This window comes from Homo sapiens, chromosome 4, assembly GCF_000001405.40.
Source record: "Homo sapiens chromosome 4, GRCh38.p14 Primary Assembly".
Taxonomy (NCBI): domain Eukaryota; kingdom Metazoa; phylum Chordata; class Mammalia; order Primates; family Hominidae; genus Homo; species Homo sapiens.
Window position 1 is genome coordinate 33,969,873 of NC_000004.12, and position 14,431 is coordinate 33,984,303.

The following is a 14,431-nucleotide window of genomic DNA, read 5'->3' on the forward strand; positions in this document are numbered from 1 at the left end:
TGACATAAGTCTTAAAAAGATTTTTAGGATATGACCCCCAAAAGCACAGGCAACCAAAATAAAAATAGGAAAAATGATATTTCATACACCTAAAAGGCCTCTGCTCAGCAAAGAAAACAACCAACAGAGTGAAAAGACAGTCTGTGAAATTGGAGAAAATATTTGCAAACGATATGTCTGATAAGGGGTTAAGGAACTCAAATGAAAGATTACAAATATTGGCAAGGATGTTGAGAAGGTAACACTTTTTCACTGTTGATGAGACATGAATTAGTACAGTTGTTATGAAAAATAGTGTAGAGGTTTCTCATAAGATTAAAAATGGAACTACCCATGTGATCCACCAGTCCCACTTCTGCTTCAAATGAATTGAAATAAATATGTCAAAGAGATATCTGCTCTCCCATGTTCACTGAAGCTTTATTCACAATAGCTAGGATATGAAACTGATCTAAGTATCTAGGAAAAGACAACTGGATTTTTAAAATGTGGGGTGTATATACATACACAATGGAATACTATTTACCCATTAGTAAAAAAGGAATCTGTCATCTGTGACAACATGGATGAACCTGGAGGATATTATGCTAAGTGAAATAAATCAGGCTTACAAATAACTTTTGGTCAGACAGGAAGAATAGGTTCTGGGGCTCTGTTGTACAGCATAGTGAGTATAGTTAATAATAATACACTATATACACAAAAATTGCTAAGAGAATATATCTCAAATATTCTTACCCTATACACACACAGAAATAATAAATATGTGCATTACAGGATATGTTAATTAACTTGATTTCATTATTATACAATGTATATAGATATCAAAAATACCACAATACAATTTTAAAGGTAATCCATTAAACATTAATAGAGATAAAAAACATAAACCAAAATAAAACTTAGTAAGTCTCTCACCAGCTTTAAGGTCAAGGAATATCTTTTTCAATGACCTGGAACCATCTCTCTGAAGTGCAATCATCAAGGAAGATAGCACCCCCATCTCTCAATTTCTGAAATGGTAGGAGCTTAGCCTTGGGTGTAGGGGGCTGGTTCTCACTCCAAATTGCAAAACTGCCTCTTGCTGTAAAAATATGATAATTTGTTTTTTCCTTTGAATAAATCCAATTAGCTAACACAGATGGTCATCTCAATTACCAAGTGAATTTAGGATCAACTATGTGTGACAAATGGTACTATCAAGTCCTCTTACTAGAGGACTAGCTATTATTTATTAGGAAAACATATATGTAATGGATTGTACTTTCTTGAATATATAAAAGGGTGAAATTTCTTTGTTTGCAATCTCTTTAGCAAATTGCCTATGTGCATCACATTCTGGTTTAATGCTAGTCGGTAGTATTTTTACTTTCTTTTTTACCTTAGCAGAGAGGTTTTCAGAGTTGGGAGGAGATTTTGTTTTCATTTTTACTAACAATTTTGGCAACAGAGATAGAATGAGTTTTCCATTTTCTGAATTGAGTGGTCCAGCTGAAGGTCTTGTGGGCACACAACACTCAGGTAAGATACCGTGAATTATTATGCCTCTCTTTTCACTCTGAACAATTTTGGAATACCAGCCAAATGAACTACCATCTTAAAATTCAAGATTTTACTATTAAATAAACATCAATAATACAGGCTCTAATTCTCATCAGGATTACTATAGTTGGAAAATCAATGACACCAGAAATGTTGCCTGAAAAGTGTGTCTCTTAAAGAGTTAATAACTTTCTATTATATTTGAATAAGTGTATGATAATTCAGTCTAGCAGTAGACTGAGGACAGTTCTTCTGATTTGAATAAACTAAATGAATGTGTTGAGGTTCATAGACAGGCCTTGTTACATAAGAATATGTTCTCCTATCCCCCAAAATCATAGGTTGAGGACCTAACCTCCAATGGGACTGTATTTACAGATACAGCATAAAGAGATAATTAAGGCCAAATGAGGTCTTAAGAACACAGCCCTTATCTAATATGACTCATATTCTTATAATAAGAGGAAGAAACACCAGGGATGGAAACCACAGAGAAAAAAAGGCCATGGTCATGTGAGGATGCAGTAGGAAGATGATCATCTGCAGGTCAAGGAGAGATGTGTCTTGAGAACCAACCCTGCTGGCAACTTGATTTTGGATGTCCAGCCTCCAGAACTGTGAAGAAAATAAATTTCTGCTCTTTAAGTCACTCAGTCTATGGAATTTTGTTATGCAATCCCTAGCAAACTAATACAGACATCATCTAAAACAAATGAATCACTAGTATTTATGTAATCAATATTATTCTAAGAAAAAAATTAATTTGGATAGGCAAAAGGAAAAAAAGCAAAATAGAACAGGAAATGTGAGAATTAAAGGTAATTTTTCTTTCACAGAACCCTTCTGACCCTTTTTCTGCAGTGGCTACTCCCCCTGCTTCCCCTAAACATCTTGTCTGTATCACTCACTACCTCAGAATGAGTCTGGGGAAGGGAAGTTAATGATCTCTTGGATGAATGGTTTCTTCCTGCTATGGTTTGAAAGTCTCCCTGCCAAAATTTGTGTTAAAATTCAATGGCCAATATGATAGTATTAAGAGGTGAAGCCTTCAGAGGTGATTAGGCCATGAGGTTTTCTTCTTTCTGAATGGGATTAAGGCTTTTATAAAGGAAATTTCACTCAAACTTTGGCTCCCTTGCCCTTCTGCCTTCTGTCATGTGAGAACAGTGTTCCTCCCCTCCGGAGGATGCAGTAACAAGATGCCATATTGGAAACAGAAAGAGCTCTTGCCAGGCAAACAAACCTGTTGATGCCTTGATTTTGGACTTCCTAACCTCCAGAACTATAAGAAATAACATGCTGTTCTTATAAATTATCCTGTGTCAGGAATTTTGTTACAGCAGCACAAATTAACTAAGATACCTTTGTCAGGAGATTTTCCTGAAAAGAGGGATAAGGGAAAAACATTATTATCTACTCTATTTTGAGGACACAGGTTTGAGTGCCTCATGTGATTTCATTCTATGTCTTAGCCCTGATTCCCCCTCCAAAAGTCCCTTATTATCCATGTACCATGTAGCTAGAAAAGCAGAAGATATAAGGAGATCTAATCAGGAAAATATGAGAACTTGAAAAAAAGGCTGTCTTTTATGAAGACAACAGGATGGAGAGTAGCTGCACTTGTCACATGTAAAAAAAAGGCAAACAGAAAAGATATTAAATTGATAAATGTAGACACAGAAAAGGAAACCAAAACGCTATATAATTTACATTTCCCTTGTCTCAGTGAGAGAAAAACCTGCTTTTATTTGTATTGCAAGCAAAGCTGATGCCATCAAGAAGCTACTGAGGGTTCCTTGTTCATCTACATGCCTTCCTTGCAAGCTAATATTATTCATTTATAAACTTTTTCTTTTTCCCGTGCTTCAGAAGTTGAAGTAGTGCAAAGCAAACTGCTTTACAGCTTCACACATGGGGATGTGTACTGACTCCTCTATGAGATTTTCTAACTAGTCAGCTTTGCTCCTTTGATGGAACAAGAACAATAGGATTCCAAAGACTTCATCAGGGAGTTCTGGTGGACAAGGGAAGCTGATTATCTGATACACATCTTCCCCTCCAATACCCACACACAACTATGAAAGGATCTAATAGTTTAAGAGACACATTGACAACAGTTGCTAATAGCTCGAGTTGAATGCTTGCTGAGAAATGTGAGTTGGAAGATATAATGGTGTGCCCAGAAGGGGGGTGAGTCCCCCAATTCATGATCATTAATTGTTCACTGAGACATTTGTAAAGTTTATTGGTATAGATCCAATGGCAGATGAAATAGCCTTCTGACCTTGAATACCTTTGCCTTGTCTCTTTTGCAGGCTACAAAACAGAATTACAGAAAATGTAATAGGATGGCGAGTGTAGAATATCACTTGAGTTTTATCAGTAGCTACTCGGTTTGGGTATCATCAAAAGAAAGACAAAGGAGAAAAAAATATTAAAGCCTACTGTGTTTACTGATCAATGAGCATTCTTTACTAAAGGGAATAATCTCTACTCTGGCCAGTCTATAAGGGTTGAAAAAGAAGAATCCATGACGTTGGAAAAGGAAGCATAGAAGTAGACTGAGGAGGATACAGGAGGCACAGGGACAAGGGAATCAGGGAAGTCCAGAAAGCTATGGAATAAATGGAAAATGATTTAATTTTAGGGACTCTCAGATGCGAGAATTGCTAACAGTGGTGCTACTTTTTCTGTAGTTTTCTCAATAATTTCTCACATTCTTTTGGTAATAGATTAATACAAGTTGCTGGTATTTTATGTCCATTTTTTTTCCTACTTGTTCTTTTTTTCCCCCAGTTCCCATACAGATAACTCCTCTGAGGATCTGAGGAACATGTGTTCTTACCTTGTCCTGATTCTCCTATACATCTTCTTGGGAGAGAACTGTGCAACTTAAAGGCTACCTTATTTTGTACTGTGAATGTCTCTGGAGCTCCTTGGGAAAAAAGTTATCTGATTTAGCTACTATGTGCCTTTTGAAAGAAAAGGGCTATGTAAGAAGACAGCAGTCTCACACTGTGCCAGAAAAACACTCCAAACTGAAAATGAAAACAAAGTTTCACTTTTGGCTCTAGTGATACTTGTTGTACTTGCTATAGAACCAATAAAAATTGTTTATCAAAAGGGTAAGCCATGACCCATGCAAAAGGGTATCTTTTACTGAGAGCTCCATTAAAAGGAATAAAATCAGTTATTACAAATATAAGAATAGCAAGGAATAAATTTTAAGAGGGCACTTACTTTGTCATACTCACATACTTACAGTAAAGAAGAAAGGCAAATTTGATAGAGATGGTTGCATTAGTCCATTCTCACACTGCTAATACAGACATACCGGAGACTGGCCAGGCACAGTGGCTCACGCCTGTAATCCCAGCACTTTGGGAGGCCGAGGCGGGTGGATCACAAGGTCAGGAGATGGAGACCATCCTGGCTAACACAGGGAAACCCCGTCTCTACTAAAAATACAAAAAAATTAGCTGGGTGCGGTGGCGAGCACCTGTAGTCCCAGCTACTCGGGAGGATGAGGCAGGAGAATGGCGTGAACCCAGGAGGCAGAGCTTGCTGTGAGCCAAGATCGTGCCACTGCACTCCAGCCTGGGTGAGAGAGCAAGACTCCGTCTCAAAAAAAATAAAAAATAAAAAATAAAAGACATACCCGAGACTGGGTAATTTATAAAGGAAAGAGGCTTAATGGACTGACAGTTCAGCATGTCTGGGGAGACATCAAGAAACTTACAATCATGGCAGAAGGGGAAGCAAACACATCCTTCTTCACATGGTGGCAAGAAGAAGAATGAGTGCCCAGCGAAGGGTGGTTATATAAGAAATCCCCTTATATAACGATCAGATTTTGTGGGAACTAACTTACTATTGTGAGAACAGAATGGGGAAAACCACCGCAACAAATCACTTATCTCACCTGGTCCCTCCCATGACACATGGGGATTATGAGAACTACAATTCAAGATCAGATTTGGGTGGGGACACAGCCAAACCATATCATTCCATCCAAGACCCTCCCAACTCTCATGTTCTCACAATTAAAAGCCTAAGAATGCCCTTCCAACAATCCCCCACAGTCTTAACTCATTCCAGTATTAACTCAAAAGTCCAAGTCCAAAATCTCATCTGAAACAAGGCAAGTCACTTCGGCCTATGAGCCTGTAAAATCACAAGCAAGTTAGTTACTTCCTAGGTACAATGTGGGTACAGGCATTGGGTAAATACACTCATTCCAAATGGGAGAAATTGGCCAAAACAAAGTGGCTACAGGCCCCGTAGAAGTCCAAAATCCAATAGAGCAGTCACTAAACCTTAAAGTTCCAAATTATCTCCTTTGAACCCATGTCTCACATCCACGTCATGCTGATGCAAGAAGTGGGCTCCCACAGCCTTGGGAAACACCAACCCTGTGGCTTTGCAGGGCATGGGCCCTCTCCCAGCTGCTTTCACAGGTTGGTGTTTGAGTGCCTGCAGCTTTTCCAGGAGCATGGTGCAAGCTGTTGGTGGATCTACCATTCTGGGGTCTGGAGGATGGTGGACCTCTTCTCACAGCTGCATCAGGCTAATTGTTTATAAAACAAACAAATAAACAGCAATAACAACCCCTCCCAAAAAAAGAAAAAACACTCAGACAAACCTTTCCCACCAGAAACATCTATAGTTATTCAAATACAGATGAATTTCTGGTAGCCTCAGAAACTAGAGAGCAATGAAAAATTCATGTCTTGGCCTTGGTACAATTGCATAAGGCCTCAGTAGACAAATTGCAGCATTGCTCAACTGAGGCAAAGTATTGAGGTCATTGGTTTATAGCTGTAGGCCACAAAGTGTTACATCTAAGTGTTAGTTCATTTTGCAGATGTAAGTGGACTACTACTACTACTAAAAAAAAAATAGTTTTAGGGATTAGCACAGTATTGTAGAGAATGGATTCCACTTTTTGCAGCATGAACAATACATCTCATTTGCATAATTCTCCAGATCCTTGGGTCTGGTCCCTATAAAATGAAGAGCTTATAAAAAGCTGAAATTGAATATAACTTCTTTCCCACCTTTGGAGATTCAAAATTTTGAGAAGTCTGACCTGATTTATGTGACGTTTATGCTCATATTGCATATTTAATAATGTTTACTTATGGGTCATGCACGTGGAAAACAAGTGTCCTAGTTAAGGCTTCCCATGCTATAGCAACTTTTCATAAAATTATAGAAGCTTCTGTTTTGCCTGGAATTAAGTCTCCACAAGGAGAGGAGATAATAACAGATACTAGAGATGCCTTTCTTTGGTTCTGGAATTAAAATGCATTTGTGTACATTTTCAAAAGTATTCATAGTACTTTTCATAGTACAAAACATATATATGTTTTGAGTCTGTCATGCAACAGCATAAATTAAAAAGAAAAGGATTTTTCACTTCCATGAGAACTAAAAAACTCTTGGAAAATTGATGGCTGATTTGTTATGAACTTTACCATTGCCTGCTAAAATATCAATAATTCATTTTGCTGACAGAGCTTCAAGAGCTGTTGATAAAACATAGAAGACTCCAAATTTAGAAGCTCCACTTATACTGCATTAAGAAACATTTTTTAATGTTCAAAAATATGTTTCACAAAAGGAAATAAATGAATTATATAAGAGATTCAAAGAAACTTGATCTATCTCAAAATTATAGACAACAAAAGCAAAAACAGACAAATGAGATTGAATCAAATTAAGGAGCTTCTGAACAGCAAAGGAAACAATCAAAAGAGTGAAGAGACAATCTATGGATGGGAGCAAAGCTTTACAAACTATATGTCTGAAAAGGTATATTTGTAAATATATTTGTAATTCAAACAACTCAATAATAAGAAAAAATGATCTGATTAAATAATGGTCAAAAGATCTGAATAAGCATTCCTCAAAAGAAGACATTCAAATGGTCAACAGGTTTATTTAAAATGTTCAATATCACTAAAGAAATGCAAATTAAAACCATAAGGAGCCAAGGAGACCAGGGAATTTTACCCCCAAATATAGCACCATAGTTTGCTGATTATTTTAAATGAATGACCCTTGGAGACCAGCAGAGGCTGGAAGAAGCTCTACTCTGATACTCTGTTATGTGCCTAAAGATCAGACCCACCAAAGAAGAAAACAATTACTTCTGGTCCTTTCCCTGAGTTTTCATTAACTGAACTGGTATCTCAGGAAGAAAACCTGAAGTCTGTCAACACACTTGGACAGACTTTGGTGGCAAACCATTGTCTGCTCTGCAGCCCAAACAGACTTTGTCCTAGGCCACTGTATGTTTTCCAAACCCATTGAGTCCCCTACAAGTCATTCATTATCCTCCTTAAAATCATCCACATTTCGCCAACTCCTTTTCCCGTATTAAAAAAAAATACTCATCTGTACCCCACTGGGTTTTTCAGTAATCATTCTAGTGAGAGTTCCTCATCCTATACACATCAAAATAAAATTTGCATGCCTTTTCTCCTTTAATCTTCCTTTAGTTTAGTTGATTTTCAGTGAACTTTCAGAGGGGGAAAGAAAAGTTTTTCCTTTGCTCTAGGAGATAATACCCATTCTAACAGGTGTAAGGTGATATCTAAAGAAAATATAAGTTTGTGAAGAGAAAAATGGAATCTCTGCACACTGTCAGTGAGAATACAAATTAGTACGTCCATTATGGAAAACAGTATAAAGGTTTCTCAAAAAAATTAAAAATAGAACTACCATGTGATCCAAAAATTTCCACTTCTGGGTATACAACCAAAGAATTGAAATCAGCATGTTGAGCAGATATCTGTACTCCCACATTTTCACTGCAGCATAATTCACAATAGCCAAGATATGGAATCAACCAATATGTTCATCAACAGGTGAATGGAAAAAGAAAACATATGTGTGTGTGTTTGTGTGTGTGTGTGTGTGTGTGTGTGTGTGTGCAACGTAGTACTATTCAGCCTTAAATATTAAGGAAATTTTGTTATTTGTGGCGACATGTATGAGGCTGGAGAACATTATGCTATTGCTCTCCCTTGTAAGTGAAATCTAAAGAAGTTGAACTATTATAAGCAATCGGTAGAATGCTGGCTACCAGATACTAGAGGTGCAGTAGATATTGGGGATACATTGTTCAAAGGATACAAAACTTTAGTCAGACAGGAAGAATAAATTCAAAAGAAAGAAAAAAGAAATTTAACTGGACTATGGGAATGCCCTAACACAATAATAATTCCTATATCAAAACCTTTATTTGCTTTGGTTAGGGTTTTTTTTTTTGTTTTTTTGTTTTTTGTTTTTTTTTGATACGGAGTCTCACTCTGTCACCCAGGCCGGAGTGCAGTGGTGCCATCTCTGCTCACTGCAAGCTCCGCCTCCCGGGTTCACACCATTCTCCTGCCTCAGCCTCCCGAGGAGCTGGGACTACAGGCGCCCACCACCACGCCTGGCTAATTTTTTGTATTTTCAGTAGAGATGGGGTTTCACCGTGTTAGCCAGGATGGTCTCCATCTCCTGACCTCGTGATCTGCCCGTCTTGGCTTCCCAAAGTGCTGGGATTACAGGCGTGAGCCACCGTGCCTGGCCTGGTTAGGGTTATTATGTCATCAACAAATCATCTCAAAAAAAGATGAATTTTAAAGTCACTAGACTCTGAGCCTGCATACCAAAAAAGATTTTTTTAATACGAACATATTAGAGAGATGTAATATTCGTCAGCAGAATTATTTACATGCTACTCCTAATAAACCACAGGAAATCCTCTCTGAATAACTACCAGGAACCTTTTGGTAGTTGAGTTTCATAGAACTACATGTAAAAGGTAAGAGCTTTGTCTGTTTACTGTGTGTGTGATGTCTGGATGACCTGAGACCTTAACCTCTTCAAAAAAATGAAACAAAACATAAAAACTGATTTTCAGGCAATGGTAAAGACTCTCTTAAAAACCTTAGTTCTAACTTTTGGGATACCACAATATTTGAATCAGACAGAGAAAGTTATTTTATTTGTACCTAGGATTTATGCAAACGTGTGCTGATTTCCATAAAGTATCATACACCTTATATTCCTCAGTCCTCCAGATAAATAAAGTAGATAAATTAAATTTTAAAAAATAATTAACTAAGACTCAGCTATGTACTGGGTTAAAATCTCCAGAGTTTTATCATTAGTCTTTTTCCTCCTGCCTCTGCATTCAAGCACAGAATCTTTTCTTTGAACCTACATTTGGCAGGCCCATGAATTTGGGTCTAAGAGCACGTCCTGTGCCTGATATAAGCAAATCCTCTTCTAACCATTTCCAATGCCTAAAAGGGTTTATCTCTTTCCTAGAAACCCTGAAACTTAAAGACAATAGGATCTGGAAGGACACGCCAGTGGAAATTGGCTATCTCTGTGGACCAGGAAATTTCATCTACAAAAAGGTATTCCAGAAAGAAAATGCAGTCACCATGTTGGGAAGAAGTCTTTCAAGTGCTACTGATCACTCGTTTGGCTATCAGAGATTAAAACAAAATAAAACAAAAACCAAAACCAAAACAAAAGAGAAACAGCTCAGCTGGAGTCATGCTTCCCACGTGGAGACAGCACCCGGGGAAGACTTGACTGTGGTTCTCACAAGGCCTTGAAATTTAAGTTTTCAAGAGTAACTGAGCTTCGTATTGAATTCAGATAAAGAGGTAATCTAGAGAACATATTACATTTTAGATGGTCTTGCTGTCTTATTTCCAGTAGGTTTATTTTGACTACTTTAAGAATTATATTTTACTAGGAATCAAAAGTTATTTGCTACATGACCTTTTCTTTCTGTACTCCCAGTAATGGTTCTCACAATCCCCTTTCCAGTTAGCTCAAATTGTCCTCCCAGCAGAAACAGGACCTGGAATTGTATAACCAACAGTTTTATTATTGAAAGAGTAAAGGTGAGACCATCTTCATTATAATTGTTGATAACAAAATAAAACTAATATGCATCCAAGTACTCAAGCCTGGCTGTGGTTTGAATGTGTCCCCAAATTCCATGTGTCAGAAATTTAATTCCCAAATTTATGTGTTGTTGCTATTTGGAGGTAGGGCCTTTGGGATGTAGTGATAGATGATGTCATAAGAGTAGGGCCCCCGTGATGAGATTAGTGGCCTTATAAGAAAGGGAGGAGAAATATGAGCCATATGGTGCTTTCTGCCATGTTATGATGACCTCACCAGCACGATGACTTCACCAGATGTAGCTCCTCAACCTTAGACTTCTCAGTCCCCAGAAATGTAAGAAATAGTTTTCTTCATAAATTACCCCATCTTAGTATTCTGCTATCTCAACACACAATGGACTAAGACAAGTCCTACTTGTAAAACAAACAAAAACAATTAATTGGCTTAATCGAAAACATAAACATTCCAGCTAATAGAAAAATAGAAACTTGGCATTGTAAGATAGAGACTACAAAAAACAGGTCTACTGTTACTTAGTTAACTTTGTGATGTAACTTCTCTCCCATCTAAGTATAAATTGATACATGAAACTGAATTTCTATCATTCATGAATATTTTGTTGACTATTATAACATAGAGCTATTGGTTTAGATCCCATTCTGGAAAAAAAAATTACGCATAGGCTAGGTTTGTCTTCAAGACTTAAAATAATAATAGTTATATACATTAAACCCTCAAAGTTTAATCTGTGCCTTTCAGTTTGTACCTTATAATAAGACTTTTTGTTTGTTTGTTTTTGTTTTTGAGACAGAGTCTTGCTCTTGTCGCCCAGGTTGGAGTGCAATGGCATGATCTCAGTTCACTGCAACCTCTGCCTCCCAGGTTCCAGTGATACTCCTGCCTCAGCCTCCCAAGTAGCTGGGATTACAGGCCCCTGCCACCATGCTCAGCTAATTTCTGTATTTTTAGTAGAGACGGGGTTTCACCGTGTTGGCCAGGCTGGTCTCGAACTCCTGACCTCATCATCCACCCGCCTTGGCCTCCAAAAGTGCTGGGATTACATGCATGAGCCACTGCGCCCGGCCAAGACTTTTATATTAGATGATGACCATGGATGTTACTGAATTGCAAAACTGAGAAAAGCTATTTAGGAAGATTGAATAATTACTAAAAGGCCTATGTAGTCATGTGCTGCATCACAACATTTTGTTCAACAATGGATCATATTACAATGGTGGTCTCATAAGATTATAATGTATTTTTCATGTACTTTTTCTATATTTAGATATGGTTAGATACACAAATACCATTGTGTTATAGTTGCCTACAGTATCTGGTAACATGTACAGCTTTGTAGCCTAGGAGCAATAGGCTATACCATATAGACTATGTGCTGTAAGAACATCCAAGTTTATGTAAGTACATTACATCCTATGACGATCTCACAACAATGAAAAGGTGTATGTAATCGGTTGTGTCTGTTTGGCTATATAAAAGGGTGAGATTCCTTTCTGTCTGCATTCTCTTTAGTGGATTGCCTGTGATGTGCATCACATCCTGGTTTCATGCTTATTCAATAATAAAATTGCTTTTTTTCTCTTTTACCCCTGTAGAGAGGTTTTCAGGGTTGGAATAAGACTGTTTTAATTATATTTTCTCAACAAAACCTAAGTTGCTTTAGGATAACAAAGGTAGCTTTCTGATGTTCACCCATCCTTGATATTGGGAAGTTAGATATTTTATGTTCTACTCAAAAATATTTGCAAATCTAAAAACGTACTATAGAGTGATATAGAGTGAATACCTTATGCTCTATGAATATAAATATGAATATGAAAGAATGTTTTTATTATTGAAGATGATATTTCTCAAAGCCAAAATGTAATTTTTCCTTTATTAAAGGATTTTAAAATTACTAAAATGTACTACCAGTATGCTTCCTATTTTCAACAAATTAAATTATGGAAGGACATAGTTGATTGTAAACTTGGAAAAAGATTCATTTGAATTGAAATATGTATTCTGATATAATATTGTTATATTTAAAATCTTATAACCAAACTAATCTCTCATAAAAAATCCAATAGAAAAAAATTGAATAAAAATAAGACACAACTAATAAGAATAATAGAGGATAATGGATAACATTGTCAACAAATGTTGATTTAAAAGAAACATTCTTATCTGTATATTGTCTACTAAAATGTACTTTGTGTATATAACAATAAGTTAGATCTTGTGATATGTTTTTAAATTAGATTTCATTTCTCTTATTTATTCAAAATAATGTAGCCCCACAATCTCTATGTCTCCTTTTATAAATCCCATCTATCTCATGTATTTTCATGGTATGCTCTGAAGAAAAGACTGAAAGGAAAATATATGCCAGAAACCATTTGGTAGATTATATATTTGACTTAGATATGAGTATGAATAATATTTCCAATGAATTTCAATGTATTATAAGTTCAGAGAAAAGTGTTCCAATTTTAAAAATAAATAGCCTCTGGTCTCAACATAATTTCTCTAAGCTTGTGTTTCTTTTCCACTTCATTTTAATTCCTTCCTTGATGCTTCCAGATGACCTTTGGCAAGTAACTCAATTTTCTGTGCATTTTTCACTTTTGTCTAATAAGTATTTTCTGCTCCTCTTGATAGCAAAAAATCTTCTGCTGAATCTTTTCTTCATTCATTCATTCATGTATTTATTTTCAAGCTATTAATAATATACTTTAAATGCATATTAAATGCTGCATGTTTTCCTATGCACTTTCACATCTCTACTTGGGTGTGTAATTTGCACTCCACGTAATTTCGTAGCATTTTCCACTGTTAGCAAATAATTCATGCTCACTTCTTCCTAAGGACATTCTGCCATTCCTTTTCTTCCTAGAATAAATTTATCCCTTTTCCTTACCAGCCCAATTTTCATAAATTCTTAGTTCGATTCATTCAAATTCTCCCTACAAAAGCTTTATCAAAATCTCTAGACTTGTCATGTCCTGTGGTTTATGCTTTCATAACAACTTATAATTTTCTCAAACATCATTTATTAATATTTTAATAAACTAATTCTGTAGACAGAAATAAACTTTGATTTCTGTCTCTCCTTTTAGATTCCAAGCTCAAAGCTTCTTTGGCTTTTTCATAGTTGTTAACATAGTGACATGCTTAGCACCTTGCATATTGTTGATAGTTACTAAATGTATAACAAATAAGTAAATGAATATAAATATTTATGTATGTCATATGTATAACATATGTTATATATAACATATATTTATACATTAATTATATATAAATTATACACATACAGACACATACACACACATACACATATGAATCTAAAAGGGAATGTGACCATAGAATGAAAAAGAAAGCCTTCACCTCTGTTTGAGCAATTAAGTTGGCACCTTCTAAGTATATGGCTGAATCTACACACAGTAATTGCTTTATTTTCTTTTCTGAATTAAATATTTATTTTGCTAAGTAAACTATTTGATAGTTTTAACAAATAGATGAAGTCAAAATATTTAAAGATAATTTTAATGCAACCAGGATCTAATACAATAAAAGCTTTTCTTTCCTTACTGGGAATACTTGGGTCAACGACAGAAATAGATTTTTCACCCTACAAAACTACTGTAAGATTTTTTAATTTCTAGATAAGAAACAAGTATGTATCCATCAGGTAATTTACAAATGCCAAAATTACTGAGTTGGGTAAAATGTTTAAGCTCAATTTCTGTTAAGCTGATTTTCATTTTAGGTAAGGGAAAATGCCCTTCTTCCCTGAACAGGGCAGCATTTTATAGACGCCTTGGAAATGATTGATGAAATAGTGCCATTTTACTTTCCTGAACATCCTTGGTGCATCATGCAGTGGATTGAAAGGGCCAAAAGCTGAGAAATGGTTGGTATTCCTCTGGGATTTTGTGCCCACTGATGCGCTCCTGCCTTCTATCCT

The 14,431-nt window shown here is 36.2% G+C and overlaps 1 long non-coding RNA gene across 1 annotated transcript in view; it reads right to left on the reverse strand.

Annotated features, from left to right (window-relative positions):
- LOC101928622 (uncharacterized) overlaps nt 1-14,431 on the reverse strand; it is a 143,555-nt gene that overhangs the window by 73,534 nt on the left and 55,590 nt on the right. Inside the window, exons 2-3 of the long non-coding RNA NR_125902.1 lie at nt 10,333-10,414; nt 919-1,084 (exon numbers count right to left, since the gene is read on the reverse strand). This is a non-coding gene — a long non-coding RNA (uncharacterized LOC101928622). The remainder of the gene's footprint in view (nt 1-918; nt 1,085-10,332; nt 10,415-14,431) is intronic.